Source organism: Homo sapiens, chromosome 3, assembly GCF_000001405.40.
Source record: "Homo sapiens chromosome 3, GRCh38.p14 Primary Assembly".
Lineage (NCBI taxonomy): Eukaryota > Metazoa > Chordata > Mammalia > Primates > Hominidae > Homo > Homo sapiens.
Window position 1 is genome coordinate 3,121,997 of NC_000003.12, and position 14,321 is coordinate 3,136,317.

Here is a 14,321-nt window from a genome sequence, read left to right on the forward strand (position 1 = left end):
TTATGGCAAATACAGAGTTATTTAATCACCACTATAATCAAAACATAGAACAAATCTATCACCTTTCTCTCCCCTCAAAATTCTCTCATGCGCTTTCGTAGTAAATACCTCATCCCATCTTGAGCCCCCTGGCAAGAACTGATCATTTTTTCTCTCTACAGTTTTGCCTTTTTTTTTTTTTGAGATGGATCCTTGCCCTGTTGCCCAGGCTGGAGTGCAATGGTGTCATCTCAGCTCATTGCAACCCCTGCCTCCCTGGTTCAATTGATTCTCCTGCCTCAGCCTCCCGAGTAGCTGGGATTATAGGTGCCCACCACCACGCCCAGCTAATTTTTGTATTTTTCATAGAGATGGGTTTTCACCATGTTGGCCAGGCTGGTCTTGAACTCCTGGCCTCGTGATCTGCCCACCTCGGCCTCCCAAAGTGCTGGGATTACAGGCGTGAGCCACTGTGCCCGACCTATAGTTTTGCCTTTTCTGGATGTCATATGAATGGAGTCTATTATATGCAGCCTCTTGAAAGGGGCTTTCTTCACTTGAGAGTCAGATGTGTTGCTGTGTGTATCAGCAGTTTGTTCTTTCATCTTGCTCAGTAGTATTCCATTGTATGGATATGCTCCAGGTTGCTTATCCATTCATCTGCTGGAAGAAATCTGGGTTATTTCCAGTTTGGAATAATTATAAATAAAGTGACTACACCACTCACATACACGTTTTAGTGTGAACATAAGTTTTTATTTCTCTCAGGTAAATATCTAGGAGTGGGACTGCTGGGCCATAAGCTATATGTATAGCTAGTCTTATCAGACACCAGTAAACTGTTTACCAAAGTGGCTGGGCCAGTTTGTATTCCCACCCACGGTGTATGAGAGTTGCAGTTGCTCTTCATTCTCATCAGCATTTGATATTTCCAGGTGTTTCAATTTTAGACATTCTAATGGGTATGTAAAGGTATCTCATTGTTGGCCAGGCGTGGTGGCTCGTGCCTGTAATCCCAGCACTTTGGGAGGCTGAGGCGGCAGATCACAAGGTCAGAAGTTCAAGACCAGCCTGGCCAATATAGTGAAACCCCATCTCTACTAAAAATACAAAAATTAGCCAGGTGTGGTGGCACGTGCCTGTAATCCCAGCTACTCAGAAGGCTCAGGCAGCAGACTGCTTGAACCTGGCAGGCATAGGTTGCAGTAGGCCGAGACTATGCCATTGCACTCCAGCCTAGGGGAAAGAGTGAGACTCCGTCTTAAAAAAACAAAAAGGTATCTCATTGTTGTATAATTTGTATTTCCCTAGTGATTTTATATATATATATATATAATATTTTAGACAATGTCTCACTCTGTTGTCCAGGCTGGAATGCAGTGGTGCAATCACAGCTCAATGCAGCCTGGACCTCCTGGGCTCAAAGTGTTTCTCCCACTTCAGCCTCCTGAGTAACTGGGAATACAGGCACGCAACAGCAACCCCGGCTATTAAAAAATAAATTATAGAGAAAGGGTCTCATTATATTGCCCAGGCTGGGCTCAAACTCCTGGGCTCAAATGATCCTCCCACCTTAACCTCCCAAAGTGCTGGGATTACAGGCAAGGGCCACCATATCTGGCCTCTTAGCGATTGATGAGTATCTTTATATATGTTTGGTTGCTAACCATATAGCTTCTCTTATTACGCTTATTTCTTCATATGTGATATATATTTTTATGTACTATATTTTTGCTGATAATATATAAAAATAGAATTGATTTATGTATATTAACCTGGTATCCTGAGACCTTCCTAAATTTACTTGTTAGTTCTAGTAGTAGTTTTGTCAGTTCCTATGATTTCTGTATAAACCACCATCATGTCATCTGAAAATAGGGACAATTTTACTTCCTTTTGAATTGTTACACTTTCCATATCTTTTTCTTGCTTTGTTAATGGTTATAAACTACAGACAAATGTTAAGAAGTGGTAAGATGAGGCATCCTTGCCTTCTTCCTGATATAAGGGGGAGAGTGTTCAATATATTACCACTAAGTCTGATATTGGCTATGGATTTTTCATGAATGACCTTTACTATATTGAGGAAGTCCCTTCTAATTTTTTTGGCAGTTTTTATGAGTAGGGATTGAATTTTAAGTGGTCTTTCTGCATCTATTGTGATGACAACAGTTTTTCTTTTTCAGTTAATATGGTGAATTACGTTGATTGGTTTTAGATCATTAAATACAACTTGCATTCCTTGCACTGGGGACAAACCCAAATTGATCATGATGTATTATCTTTCTATATACTGTTGGATTCAATTTCCTAACATTTTATTAAAGTTGTTTTTGTTTCTATGGTCATGTGGTATATTAAGCTGTATATTAATTTTTTTGTAGTGTTGATTTTATGTTATGCGGGTTATGCTGGCCTCAAAATGAGAGGAAAACTGTTTCCTCCTCTATTTTCTAAACAAACTTTGCACAAGACTGGAGTTCTTCCTTCCTTATGCGTTTGATAAATTTGACCACTGAAACCATCTGGGCCTGGAATTATCTTTGTGAGAAGTCTGTTGAACAACAATTCAATTTCTTTAAAAATGAAAAGCTATTCAGATTTTTAAATTCTACCCTATTTCAGTTCTGATAAATTGTCTTTTTTATAGAATTGGTGCGTTGCATCTACATTGTCAAATTAATTGGCATAAAATTGTTTATAATACCTCCTCATATATATCTACATGATCTGTAGTAATACCCCTATTTTTGTTTTATTGTCTTGGCCAGTACAGGAGGAATTCTCTTACTCTCTCTCTTTCTCCTCTCTCTCTCTCTCTCTCTCTCTCCAGTTGACCTTCCATGGCCATGGGTTCTCCATCAGTGGATTCAACCAGCCACAGGTCAAAATATTAAATAAGGCTGGGGCACCATGGCGCACGTCTGTAATCCCAGCACTTCGGGAGGCCTAGGTGGGTGGGTCACCTGAGGTCAGCAGTTCAAGACCAGCCTGGCCAACATGGTGAAACCCCGTCTCTACTAAAAATACAAAAATTAGCCGGGCGTGGAGGCGGGTGCCTGTAATCCCAGCTACTTGGGAGGATGAGGCAGGAGAATCGCTTGAACCTGGAAAGCAGAGGTTGCAGTGAGCTGAGATCGTGCCACTGCACTCCAGCCTGGGCGCCAGAGTGAAACTCCATCTCAAAAAAAAAAAAAAAAATTAAATAGCAATTAAAAAACACAAAGAAGCGATATAGCATAACAACTGTTTACACAGCATTTATATCAGGTATTATAAGTAATCTAGAAATGATTTGTACTACAGAATGTGTATAGTCTATATGTAAATATTATGCCATTTTATGTAAAGAACTTGAACACTGGCTGGGGTGATGTTCTGGAACCAATACCCCATGGATACGGAAGGACAACTGTATATACACCTGCATATATAAACTATATATTTACAAGGCCAGAAATTGTTGAGGGTGCCCAGCACAGTAACTGGCACGAAGTAAGTCATCATAATAGTTGTATTAGCGTTGCCTTCATAGGTGGTGATTTGGAGAATCTATTCTAGGTGGGTACAGCAATGGAGGCTTTGGTCCAGTTTGTCTAGGGTCATGGTGGTGAGAAATAGCAGACAAGCCTGAAAGGATGATTTGGGGCTTTCCTTGCCCCAAAGAGAGAGAGAGACAGAAAATCCTTGCACCGGATGATATCAATGCTGTGCCTCTGAATGTCCATTTGGAAAGCCAGTCCTGTGCTTCCAAAAACAGGATATTCAACACCTTGAAGAGGTGTGGTAATTGCACATCTTACTTTTTACGTTTTAGGAAGTCTACAGAGAGTGGGGCTGAAAAGTTTGGGAAGAACAGGTAGGCATGTGGGGAGGGCAAAAGAACAGAAATAACATGCACAAGCATTTTTCTAGGAAAATTTTAGGGAAAGCTAAGTGATGTAAAGTTACACTTAAAAGACTACACATTTTCGGCCGGGCGCAGTGGCCGAATCCCGGCAAAAGTAATCCCGGCACTTTTGGGGGCCGAGGCCTGGGGAACACGAGGTCAGGAGTTCGAGACCAGTTGGCCAACACGGCAAAACCCCGTCTCTACTAAAAATTAGCCGGGCGTGGTGGCAGACACCTGTAATCCCAGCTACTCGGGAGGCCGAGGCAGGAGCATCGCTTGAAACCGGAAGGCGGAGGTTGCAGCGAGCCCAGATCGCGCCACCGCACTCCAGCCTGGGCGACAAGAGCGAAACTCCGTCTCAAAAACAAAACAAAACAAAAACTACACATTTTCGCACTTTAAGGGCTCAACGGCTGTATTCCCACTCCTTTGCCACTCTCTTTGCTCTTTTCCGCTCTAGAAAGAATTAATGAACTGGATCAAATCTAAGTTCTCCACGTTACAGATGGGAAGCCTCCGGGCCAAGGAGGCCAATGGTTACACAAACCAGGTAAGAAAATAAAATATGCCCAGTAAGTTCATAGGACCGGCGGGCTTAGATTTCGAATGCGCGTGACTCTGTCAACTGTGGACTTAACCCTATGCAGAGATTAGAGGAGAGAATAGTCAAACACGGATAAGTTAACATTTACCGAACAGTCCGTCCTACCCTGGGGTAGGTTTTATTAACAGTCTCGTTTTGCAAAGGAAGACAGCTGCCAGTTGTCTCAGATCGCACGGGCATGCCGCGCAGATGGGCTTCTGAGCAGCTCAGGGCCAGCCAGAGGTCTGGCGAGAAGGGCGTAATTAAACGAACCCGCGCCGGTTTCCTCAGGGCCCCCCGGGGCTCCGCTTCGCCCCAGCGGGCCTCGGCGGGGCTGGGAAACCGGCTGAGGTTCGCCTCACGGTGGGGAGGAGCGACGGGAGGCGGAAGCCCTTCGGTCCGGGCCCCGCCCCCGCACTCGCCCTCGCCCCGCCGCGACTTCCCATTCGCCGCCAACCCATGTGCGTTGGTGACGTCACCGCGTTCACCAGCCCGGAAGTGCGCGTGGCGGCGGTGGCGGCTGCGGCAACAGCGGGGCCGGTAAGCGGGCGCGCGCCGCTCAGAGGGGCAGAGTTGGTGGCGTGAGTTGCTGCCCCTTCCTTCCTGCTGTGGGCCAGAGGCGCCACCGCGCCCGGTCCTCGAGGAAGACGGGAGCGGGACGTGGCGAGAGGCCTCCTCAGCAGTGGGCAAAATAGCCCCGACGCGGAGGTCGTGTCCCCGCCACGTTTCCGGCGACCGCAGGCGCGGATTCCTTGGCTTCCCTCAGCACTTTCCCCTCCGCGCGGACGGCCCCGAGACGCTTTTTCACTGGGCCTTGTCGCCAGCACCCGGCGTGGGGGGTGAGACGCGCCTTTTCAGGGCTGGGGTTCCCCAGAGCGTTTTCCTAAGTCGAGGCGGAGGTGCGAGGAAACTGAGTGGGTCTTTCCGCCCCACGTGGCCTGCCGGGAAGCGCGGCTCCTCCACCCGCTTCCGTGGAATGGAATGGTTTTTCTCTGCAGGTTTACACCGGGGTCACTCGAGAGCTGCTGCGGCCTCCTTATGGGCAGGACCCCCGTATGGGGAGAACGAGGATGTGATATGTAGAAGGGAAGGCCGCGGTGTGCCAGAAATCAGAGGAGATTGCAAGATGGCAGGAAAAGAATCAGGAAAATGGGGGCAGCAAAACTAAATTCATGGGAAAATACAATGTCTAGGAGCTATCCCAGGGTCGTGAATCCTCGAGTGCAGGTGGGGAAGTAGGGTGATACCCACCTGTGACCATGACAAGTTTTGGAGACCAGAAACTCGGTTAGAGTTTCTAGAACCCCGCATCCCTCTCATACTGCCTGAAGCCCTGCTCTGGGGAGAGTGTCATCACAGTACCATGTGGCATGCGAGTGTCGTGGTAATGCTCCCCGACCAAACCACCAAACCGAGGGTTGGGCTGCTTATTCTCGCTGCCCAATAATGAGATGCAGATAAACTAGGAAAGAAAGGAGTTTATTTCTGTAACCAGGTACGGGGCGAAGGCGTGGAAAATATCCCAGACCGACTCAGAATTACAGAGCTTTCCAGAGCTTATATACCTTGTAAGTTGTATGTTTATGTGTAAGTGTGCATTGATCTAAAGATACAAGTGATTAACTTCTTACCCATAAGATCTGAGTCCTGAAGACCTTCCTCTGGAGCCTGAGTAAATTTACTTAATCTAAATGGGTCCAGGTGCTGGGGTGATTACCCTTATATTCTCTCCTGCTAAATCATGGAGGTTTGGGGAGTTCCCTCAGACCCCTAATAAACTTGTTCGTGGAGGCCTGGGGAGTTTCCTCAGATCCCCAGTAAAACTTGTTTAATTCTAAACGGGTCCTGTTAAGAATTCCTTTGTGGCCGGGCTCAGTGGCTCACGCCTGTAATCCCAGCACTTTGGGAGGCTGAGGCGGGCAGATCACTTGAGGTCAGGAGTTCGAGAGCAGTCTGGCCAACGTGGTAAAACCCCGTCTCTACCCAGAAGTATAAAAAATTAGCCGGATGTGGTGGTGTGCGCCTGTAATCCCTGCTACTTGGGATGCTGAGGCAGGAGAATCTCTTGAACCCAGGAGGCAGGGGTTGCAGTGAGCTGAGATCGCGCCACTGCACTCCCGCCTGAGCGACAGAGCGAGACTCCATCTCAAAAAAAAAAAAAAAAAAAAAAAGAATTCCTTTGTTATTTTATCATGCTTCAAGGTCCAGGAAAGGCCTAGGCAAAACTCTTGGGGGGCTTTTGTTACATTCTAGCCTTGTTTAAGGGCACTGGCTGGCTCTTTCAGCTTTTAATATGTAACTCAACCAGTCAGTCAGTACTGAAACAGTTATGGAGGCCTGCGCTAGTGAGACCCCGCCTGCCACAGTAAGTGCTTCTGGAGAACAAAACCAGGTAGATACATAGACCTAGTCGTAATCCCTCAAACTGACACCGTTTTCAGTTTTTTCATCTGAACAAGAGATGAATTTCTGAGTTGATAAACTTGAAATGTGTCCCCCTTTGTTTTCCTTCACTTACCTTCACTTTTAATTTCATTGGTATGCCTGTGTATTTGCCTTGTAGATGTGTAGTTGGTGACTGCCTCTCCAGATGCTGAGGTGCCTGTATCATTGGCACAGGCCAGTGCTGAACCGTAGGTGGAGTAGGCTGTGCCTTCCGAAGCAGTATCTATTCACAATGAAGTTGCAGTCTCCCGAATTCCAGTCACTTTTCACAGAAGGACTGAAGAGTCTGACAGGTGAGAGATTAGGATACCTTTTCTTGATTGGAAACCTATATAAATGGAGAAGTAGAGGGTTAACTTTTTAAGCCAGCATTCGGATATTTTCATTGTTGTTTTAATTATTTTTATTAAAAAACGTAAGTAGAGGGTCTCTTTGTGTTGCCCAGGCTGGTCTCAAAACTCCTGGGCTCACTCCTTGGCCTCCCAAAATGCTGGGATTACAGGTGTGAGCCACGGTGCCCAATGTGCACGTTTTCATTGTTGGAAGAAAGGCTTGGCTGGGTGTACCCAGCCTGTAATCTCTTGGGGAGGCCAAGGTAGGAGGATTGTTTGAGCCCAGGAGTTTGAGGCTGCAGTGAGCTATGATCATGCCACTCTAGCCTGGGCAACAGAGTGAGACCCTGTCTCAAAAAAAGAGAAAGGAATATTAAAAGAGAAAGGCTTACATATGGCTGATCCAAAAATATAGCTAAATCACTGGAAAAGGCAAGAAGTTGACTGCAGTAAAAAGCATGGCTTTTCTGTATGCTGTGCTAAGTACTTGCCATTCATTACAGGACTGGTGCTACTAACTTAATGAGTACGCACATTTTGACCTGTTACGTGAAAAAGGAAACAGATTGTTAGGCATGTGAAGTGCTTTGCCTGTGTTTCTGTAACTACTAACTAGAGAGCTAGGTTTCGAACTTACGCAGATTGATTTCAGAGCCCAGCTTGCAACCGCTAAGCTCTGTTTCCTTCCTAGGTATAAATGCTTTCCATGAGAACTGAAGGAAGAAGGAAATAGGAGTTGCCTCCATTGTGCACGTTGCAAAACCTGTCTGGAAGGAGCATAGGAAATGGCTTTAGCTAAGTGCCAGTAGCTTCTTGCTGTTGCCACAGTTTCATTAGTGTTGATTCTCAATGTTGTCTGCTGATGTTGCTAAAGCAGCCACACAGTAGCATTACAAAGCCTGTGGGAATTTTAATAGCACCTTCATAAATATATTTAGTAGTATATGTAGAAATATGACCTATACAGCACTGGCTATCTATTAGATTCACCTGGGGAGCTTTTAAAGCACACATGCTCGGGTTCTACCTGCAGCCTACTGAATTAGAATCTCTGGGTGGGATGACCATCTATATTTTTAATAAAAGCTCCACAAGTTAATTCTGATGCACAGAAGATAGACGAACCATTACTTTAACATGACTCACCTTGTATTAGCTTATTCTCAAAGCTACTTTCCCATTCTTGAAATTGGATGATGGCTTTTTAGGTACGTGCCAGAGATAAATGGCCCAGAATATGTTGATTCTTTTAGATTGTTTTAGGCAGACTTTAAGTAGAGGGCTTAAATGCATGTTTGGTTTTGCCGATGCTTCACTATCTTTTTTAATTGGAGAGAGTGAAAATTGCTAAAAATTGCTGTCCAATAGAAATTTATGAGCCCATATGTAATATAAACTTTTTTACTAACCACATTAAAAAGATAGAAATGGTGAAATAAATTTTAATAATTATTTTTGGTTCATCTAATTTAATCCAATATATCTAAGATACTATCAGTATGAATTTTGTATAAAAATTGTTAATGAGGCCGGGCACAGTGTCTCCCACCTGTAATCCTAGCACTTTGGGAGGCTGGACATGGTGGCTCATACCTGTAATCCCAGCACTTTTGAGTGGCTGAGGTGGGTGGATCACTTGAGCCCAGGAGTTTGAGACCAGCCTGGGCAACACGGTGAAACCCCATCTCTACTAAAAATATGAAAAATAGGCAAGCATACTGATATGTGTCTGTAGTCCCTGCTACTTGGGAGGCTGAGGTGGGAGGATCACTGAAGCCTGGGAGGGGGGCTTGCGGTAAGCCGAGATTGTGCCACTACACTCCAGCCTGGGCGACACAGACCGTGTCTTTAAAAAAAAAAAAAAATTAATGAGATATTTTATATTCTTACTTGGAAGTCTTTGAAGTCTGGCATGCATTTAATACAGCACATCTGAATTCAGACTTACCACATTTTAAGTGCTCAGTAAGTACAAGTGGCTGCTGTTTGAATAGTGCAGATTTTGAAGCTGTGATTTTGGGTTGAGTTGAAGCTTTTTTCTTTCTGTGTATGCCCTTCACAGCCCCCAATTTTTCAACTTCAATTGCAAGAGGCCTCTTGGAAGAAGGAGTAGTAATTAACTCTTGATGGCCTAACTCAGGTCATTCTGCATTTTTTGGAAATAAGGTTCTAAATATTGATTACTATAGTTTCTTGAACATCATTTTAACAATTGTGTTTAACGTTCTAAACCTGAAACTGGCTAGCCATATGTAGAAAGCTGAAACTGGATCCCTTCCTTACACCTTATACAAAAATCAATTCAAGATGGATTAAAGATTTAAACGTTAGACCTAAAACCATAAAAACCCTAGAAGAAAACCTAGGCATTACCATTCAGGACATAGGCGTGGGCGAGGACTTCATGTCCAAAACACCAAAAGCAATGGCAACAAAAGCCAGAATTGACAAATGGGATCTAATTAAACTAAAGAGCTTCTGCACAGCAAAAGAAACTACCATCAGAGTGAACAGGCAACCCACAACATGGGAGAAAATTTTCGCAACCTACTCATCTGACAAAGGGCTAATATCCAGAATCTACAATGAACTCAAACAAATTTACAAGAAAAAAACAAACAACCCCATCAAAAAGTGGGCGAAGGACATGAACAGACACTTCTCAAAAGAAGACATTTATGCAGCCAAAAAACACATGAAAAAATGCTCATCATCACTGGCCATCAGAGAAATGCAAATCAAAACCACTATGAGATATCATCTCACACCAGTTAGAATGGCAATCATTAAAAAGTCAGGAAACAACAGGTGCTGGAGAGGATGTGGAGAAATAGGAACACTTTTACACTGTTGGTGGGACTGTAAACTAGTTCAACCATTGTGGAAGTCAGTGTGGCGATTCCTCAGGGATCTAGAACTAGAAATACCATTTGACCCAGCCATCCCATTACTGGGTATATACCCAAAGGACTATAAATCATGCTGCTATAAAGAGACATGCACACGTATGTTTATTGCGGCACTATTCACAATAGCAAAGACTTGGAACCAACCCAAATGTCCAACAATGATAGACTGGATTAAGAAAATGTGGCACATATACACCATGGAATACTATGCAGCCATAAAAAATGATGAGTTCATGTCCTTTGTAGGGACATGGATGAAACTGGAAACCATCATTCTCAGTAAACTATCGCAAGAACAAAAAACCAAACACCGCATATTCTCACTCATAGGTGGGAATTGAACAATGAGATCACATGGACACAGGAAGGGGAATATCACACTCTGGGGACTGTGGTGGGGTCGGGGGAGGGGGGAGGGATAGCATTGGGAGATATACCTAATGCTAGATGACACGTTAGTGGGTGCAGCGCACCAGCATGGCACATGTATACATATGTAACTAACCTGCACAATGTGCACATGTACCCTAAAACTTAGAGTATAATAAAAAAAAAAAAATTAAAAAAATAAAAAAAAACATATACCTATTGAAGGAAAAAAAAAAAAACACAAAAAAAAAACACTGGATTTTCTCCACCCTGAGAAATGAGGTCCTAAGGAAGTTAGAGCCTAAATGGTGTGGTAAGGTAGAGGTGGTGATTGCTTCCAGAGTCCTGTCCTTGAAGGACTGGCAAATGAGAACATGGATATATTCTAAAGTTGACTTTTTCTAGGCTACTGGAGAAGTGGCAAGAATGGAATCTTTTAGTGCAATGATCAACAAGTTAGAATGTCAAAGACTTGGGTGCCCTGGTAAAATGTAATGTTCTGTATAAAATCAAAATGTACAAAAACACACAGCCTTTCTGATGGCTGCTATATAGTGATACTTGGAGTTTAAATCCTGTACCAATTTTCAAATCTTAATAGCTGCTTTGCCATGTGTAAAATTAGTTTTCAGTATGCAAGAATATGAGAGACTAGAATAGTGTATTATTGTCATATCATAAGGGTTTTATAATTTGTCAGGTTATTTTATGTATCTTTTTGCTTCAGTACAATCATATGCTAGTGGCATAGAAGATTATTTCCCAGCTAGCTGTGGTAGCTCATGCCTATAATCTCCCAGCACTTTGGGAGGCCGAGATGGGAGAATTGCTTGAGCCCAGGAGTTAGAGACCAGCCTGAGCAACATAGTGAAATCCCATCTGTACAAAAATAATAATAATAAATTTAGCCAGTTACAGTGATGCACACCTGTAGTCCCAGCTACTCAGGAGGCTGAGGCAGGGGGTTCCTTGAACTTGGGGTCAGGGCTGCAGAGTGAGCTGTGGTGGTGCCACTGCACTCCAGCCTGGATGACAGTGAGACCCTCTCTCAAAAAAAAAAAAATGAGAGACTATTTTTCTGTCCTAGAGATGAGGCTGAAGTTCCCAATGCAGACGATTTTTGCCTGAGCTAACAGCATTAATGGATGAGCAAGGACTTGTTTAGTCCTTTGGCTGTTGTCCACAGGGGGTGATAGCGCTCAGTGTTATGTGACGTCAGAAGGCCATCATGTTAAAATATAGCACGATAGGGACAACTGATCACTCTCTTGAAGTCCGGAGCTCTTAGAACAGATGGTCTGTTTTTCTGTAGTAATGCTCACACCATGTCTTCCCACTCATAGCTCCCACTCACTGCCCCTTACCCCACCCCAGCCTCCAGTCGTCAAAATTTAAAGCTGTAAAGGGAAGACGTTCATGAAAATTTAATTAAAAGTTAACATTAAAAAGAGGTGACAGTTATAAAAGTTTTCTGACACATTAATGTATGGTCTTTTGAATTGCTAATAATAATTAACAATTGCTTACTATCAGAGGTGGCATTTGGAGCAAATAAACGTAGTTTGGGGATGATGAGATTCTGCATTCTTTGACTTTTAGGCTTAAGTTTACAGTTAAATTTAGTTACATTAGGTGTTATTTTCACTGAATTATTTCATTGAATGTAGCTCGCAAAGTCTTTTGAAATGTTGACTGCCTCCCTGTTTCTGTAAGATTGAAGATATCAGTAACAGGAATAAATAAATCTTGAAGCTTGATAGTCCCTGCTGTTTTAGGCCAATGTGAAATTATGCTTTTCTTATAATTTTTATGACTGCTCTTTCATATAGACAAATATGCCTTGATACGTCTTTCTCAGTTGTCTTAAATGTTATTTTAAAAATCCTGAATGGCAAGGTTTTTGGAATGGTTTAATAACATAGGCTAATCAAAATGGTGAATATATTACTTTGAGTTCTGGATCTCTTTGTAATGCAGTTAGCTTACTGAGTAAATTTGAACTTATCGTTTTATTTTAGTAAAGCCAGCATGAGAATCTTAAAACAGTAGTTATCTGTATAAATTAAGCCTTGACCTTCTTCATCCCACTGTTTATAGTAAGTTCAAGTGAACGTAAAACTTGTCCTTTATTTGCTTGAATTTCAGAACAGCTACTTGATACCGTTTTAAGAAAACTTAAAAAAACCCAATACTTACCAGTGAAGTCATTCTTTTTTTTAATAGTTAGAATATCATAATTCAGTTTAATTATGAGCCAGATTGGTATAAAGATGAATAAGATAGGTTTTCTACCCTGAGAAGTGGGGAGACAAAGACATAAAACAGGTAATTTTAATATAATTGGTATGTATAAAGATATGCTGTACTAGTCGCTTAGAAGAAATTCACCTAACCTTACCTTCAGGTGAGGCTTCCTAAAGTGAGTCACAACAGATAAGTAAGAGTGAGCTAGATCATTGTTTTCCAACTGGGTAGTTACCTCTTAGTGGGCCATGAAGTCAATTTAGTGGTCATGACCAGTAATTAAAAAAAAGAGAGAATAGAATAGATTGCATGGTACGAAGGGTAGGTTTTCTTTTATGATACTTTTGTTTGCCATGTAGACATACAAATTTTGGTGACTGCTATGTGAATGTCTTAGTGTGGGTTATGGGCTAAGAAGTGTGACAGCCAGCCACTGAGCTGGAGTAAGTTGGGGAGGTGTTTCAGTGAAGTGACTCACACAAGCAAAATTATGGAGGAAAACTGTGGGGAGAGTTTTGTGCAGACAGCTGGTACAGACAGTGTGATGCAGAGTTTAGCAAGAGATGAGACAAATAGGTCATGGAAGCCTTTGGATATAGCACTGAGGAATTTGGGTACTGTGTTGTGAGTAGTTAGGAGGAGCAGTTAATGCGTAGCGTAATTAACCTAGTGTTTTAAATCCCTATGTCTAGATGGTGGAGGCTGGATTTAAGGGAGGTGATGTGGTCCCAGAAGTGGGCTTTCATGGGAAATGTGGCATTAGGGGAATATGAACACTTCCCCTTGGGGAGAGCTTGTGGAAAAGATATCCTTAATTAAGTCAAGAGGGTAGGGAGCATTTGTTACTTTTAAGTACATCATTTTAAGGAGTCTACAGAGAATGGGGCTGAAAAGATGTGGGAAGAGTAGGTGGAAGAGGAGTGTGGGCAGGACAGAAAACAGATGTTGAGGTAGGGATAGAGGATTCTGTTTTGAGTTGTGATTAGAGGTGCTGGAACTTTGATGTATGATGAGTTTAGTTGAATGCTCGTGTTGCTGTCTGCTAGCCAAAGACCAACAGGGACACAAGTTGGGTTGTTACTCCTGGCAGTGAGGAGCAACATGCTGAGTGAGGAGTAGCATGCTGACACTGGAGAACCTGGAGGTATACTCAGTAAGAGGGCTTTAGAAATGACTTCTTATAGGAGTTGGGCTTGTATTGGGTCATTTTGGAGAGCATTTAAGGTAGTAGAGCTTTGCAGCGGGTTAGATGCTCTCAGGAAGCAGAAGTAATTCTGTGATTGGGTGTCTTAATAATGGTTTCCTAGAAGTTGAGTACAGTTGTGAGACTAAACCTAATTGGTAAGGCACAGTCACTGTTACCAACTATTGTAGGGTGTATCATGGACAGTGTTCATGTTTCGTGTATGTTTAGGTGATTACAGAGTTGTCTTGATCGATCCATCGTGGTCACAGAATGGGCTTGTCTGATATTGATGTTTTGTGAAAATGTTTCTGTACCACAGACCCCAGGGCCTAATATTGTGGCAGGCTAGCTCCTGGATGCCATTCTCACTAGGTTCCATGTG

General features: G+C 43.1%; 1 protein-coding gene and 1 long non-coding RNA gene across 27 annotated transcripts in view, besides 3 other annotated features; one reads left to right on the forward strand and one right to left on the reverse strand.

Annotated features, from left to right (window-relative positions):
• On the reverse strand, positions 1 to 4,835 carry LOC124909339 (uncharacterized). The gene is made up of 2 exons (XR_007095786.1): positions 4,564 to 4,835; positions 1 to 642 (listed from the first exon to the last, which is right to left on the reverse strand). It is a non-coding gene; the product is annotated as an uncharacterized LOC124909339 (long non-coding RNA).
• Positions 4,648 to 5,067: a silencer, noted in NCBI's record as "silent region_14009". NCBI's record gives its function as "represses an Ori minimal core promoter by ATAC-STARR-seq in GM12878 lymphoblastoid cells {active_cell/tissue: GM12878}" and the evidence as "EXISTENCE:reporter gene assay evidence [ECO:0000049][PMID:35858748]".
• Positions 4,944 to 14,321, forward strand: part of TRNT1 (tRNA nucleotidyl transferase 1) — a 26,496-nt gene continuing 17,118 nt past the window's right edge. For 11 of the 26 annotated variants that reach the window (XR_001740168.3, XR_001740169.3, NR_159934.1 and 8 more), the window contains exons 1-2: positions 4,944 to 4,994; positions 7,018 to 7,192. Coding sequence is in view for 7 of the 26 variants with exons in the window: in NM_001367321.1 (NP_001354250.1) it covers positions 7,045 to 7,192 (148 nt within the window). In the remaining 19 variants the exon portion in view is untranslated. Of the gene's footprint in view, positions 6,023 to 7,017; positions 7,193 to 7,922; positions 8,684 to 14,321 lie in introns of those variants that run through there. The other 15 variants (NR_159937.1, XR_007095683.1, XR_007095685.1 and 12 more) reach the window with 5 other exon arrangements.
• Positions 5,275 to 6,005: an enhancer, noted in NCBI's record as "NANOG-H3K27ac-H3K4me1 hESC enhancer chr3:3168955-3169685 (GRCh37/hg19 assembly coordinates)". NCBI's record gives its function as "activates a minimal SCP1, AML or CMV promoter by ChIP-STARR-seq in primed H9 embryonic stem cells {active_cell/tissue: H9 hESC(primed)}" and the evidence as "EXISTENCE:reporter gene assay evidence [ECO:0000049][PMID:30033119]".
• Positions 5,428 to 5,507: an enhancer, noted in NCBI's record as "active region_19344". NCBI's record gives its function as "activates an Ori minimal core promoter by ATAC-STARR-seq in GM12878 lymphoblastoid cells {active_cell/tissue: GM12878}" and the evidence as "EXISTENCE:reporter gene assay evidence [ECO:0000049][PMID:35858748]".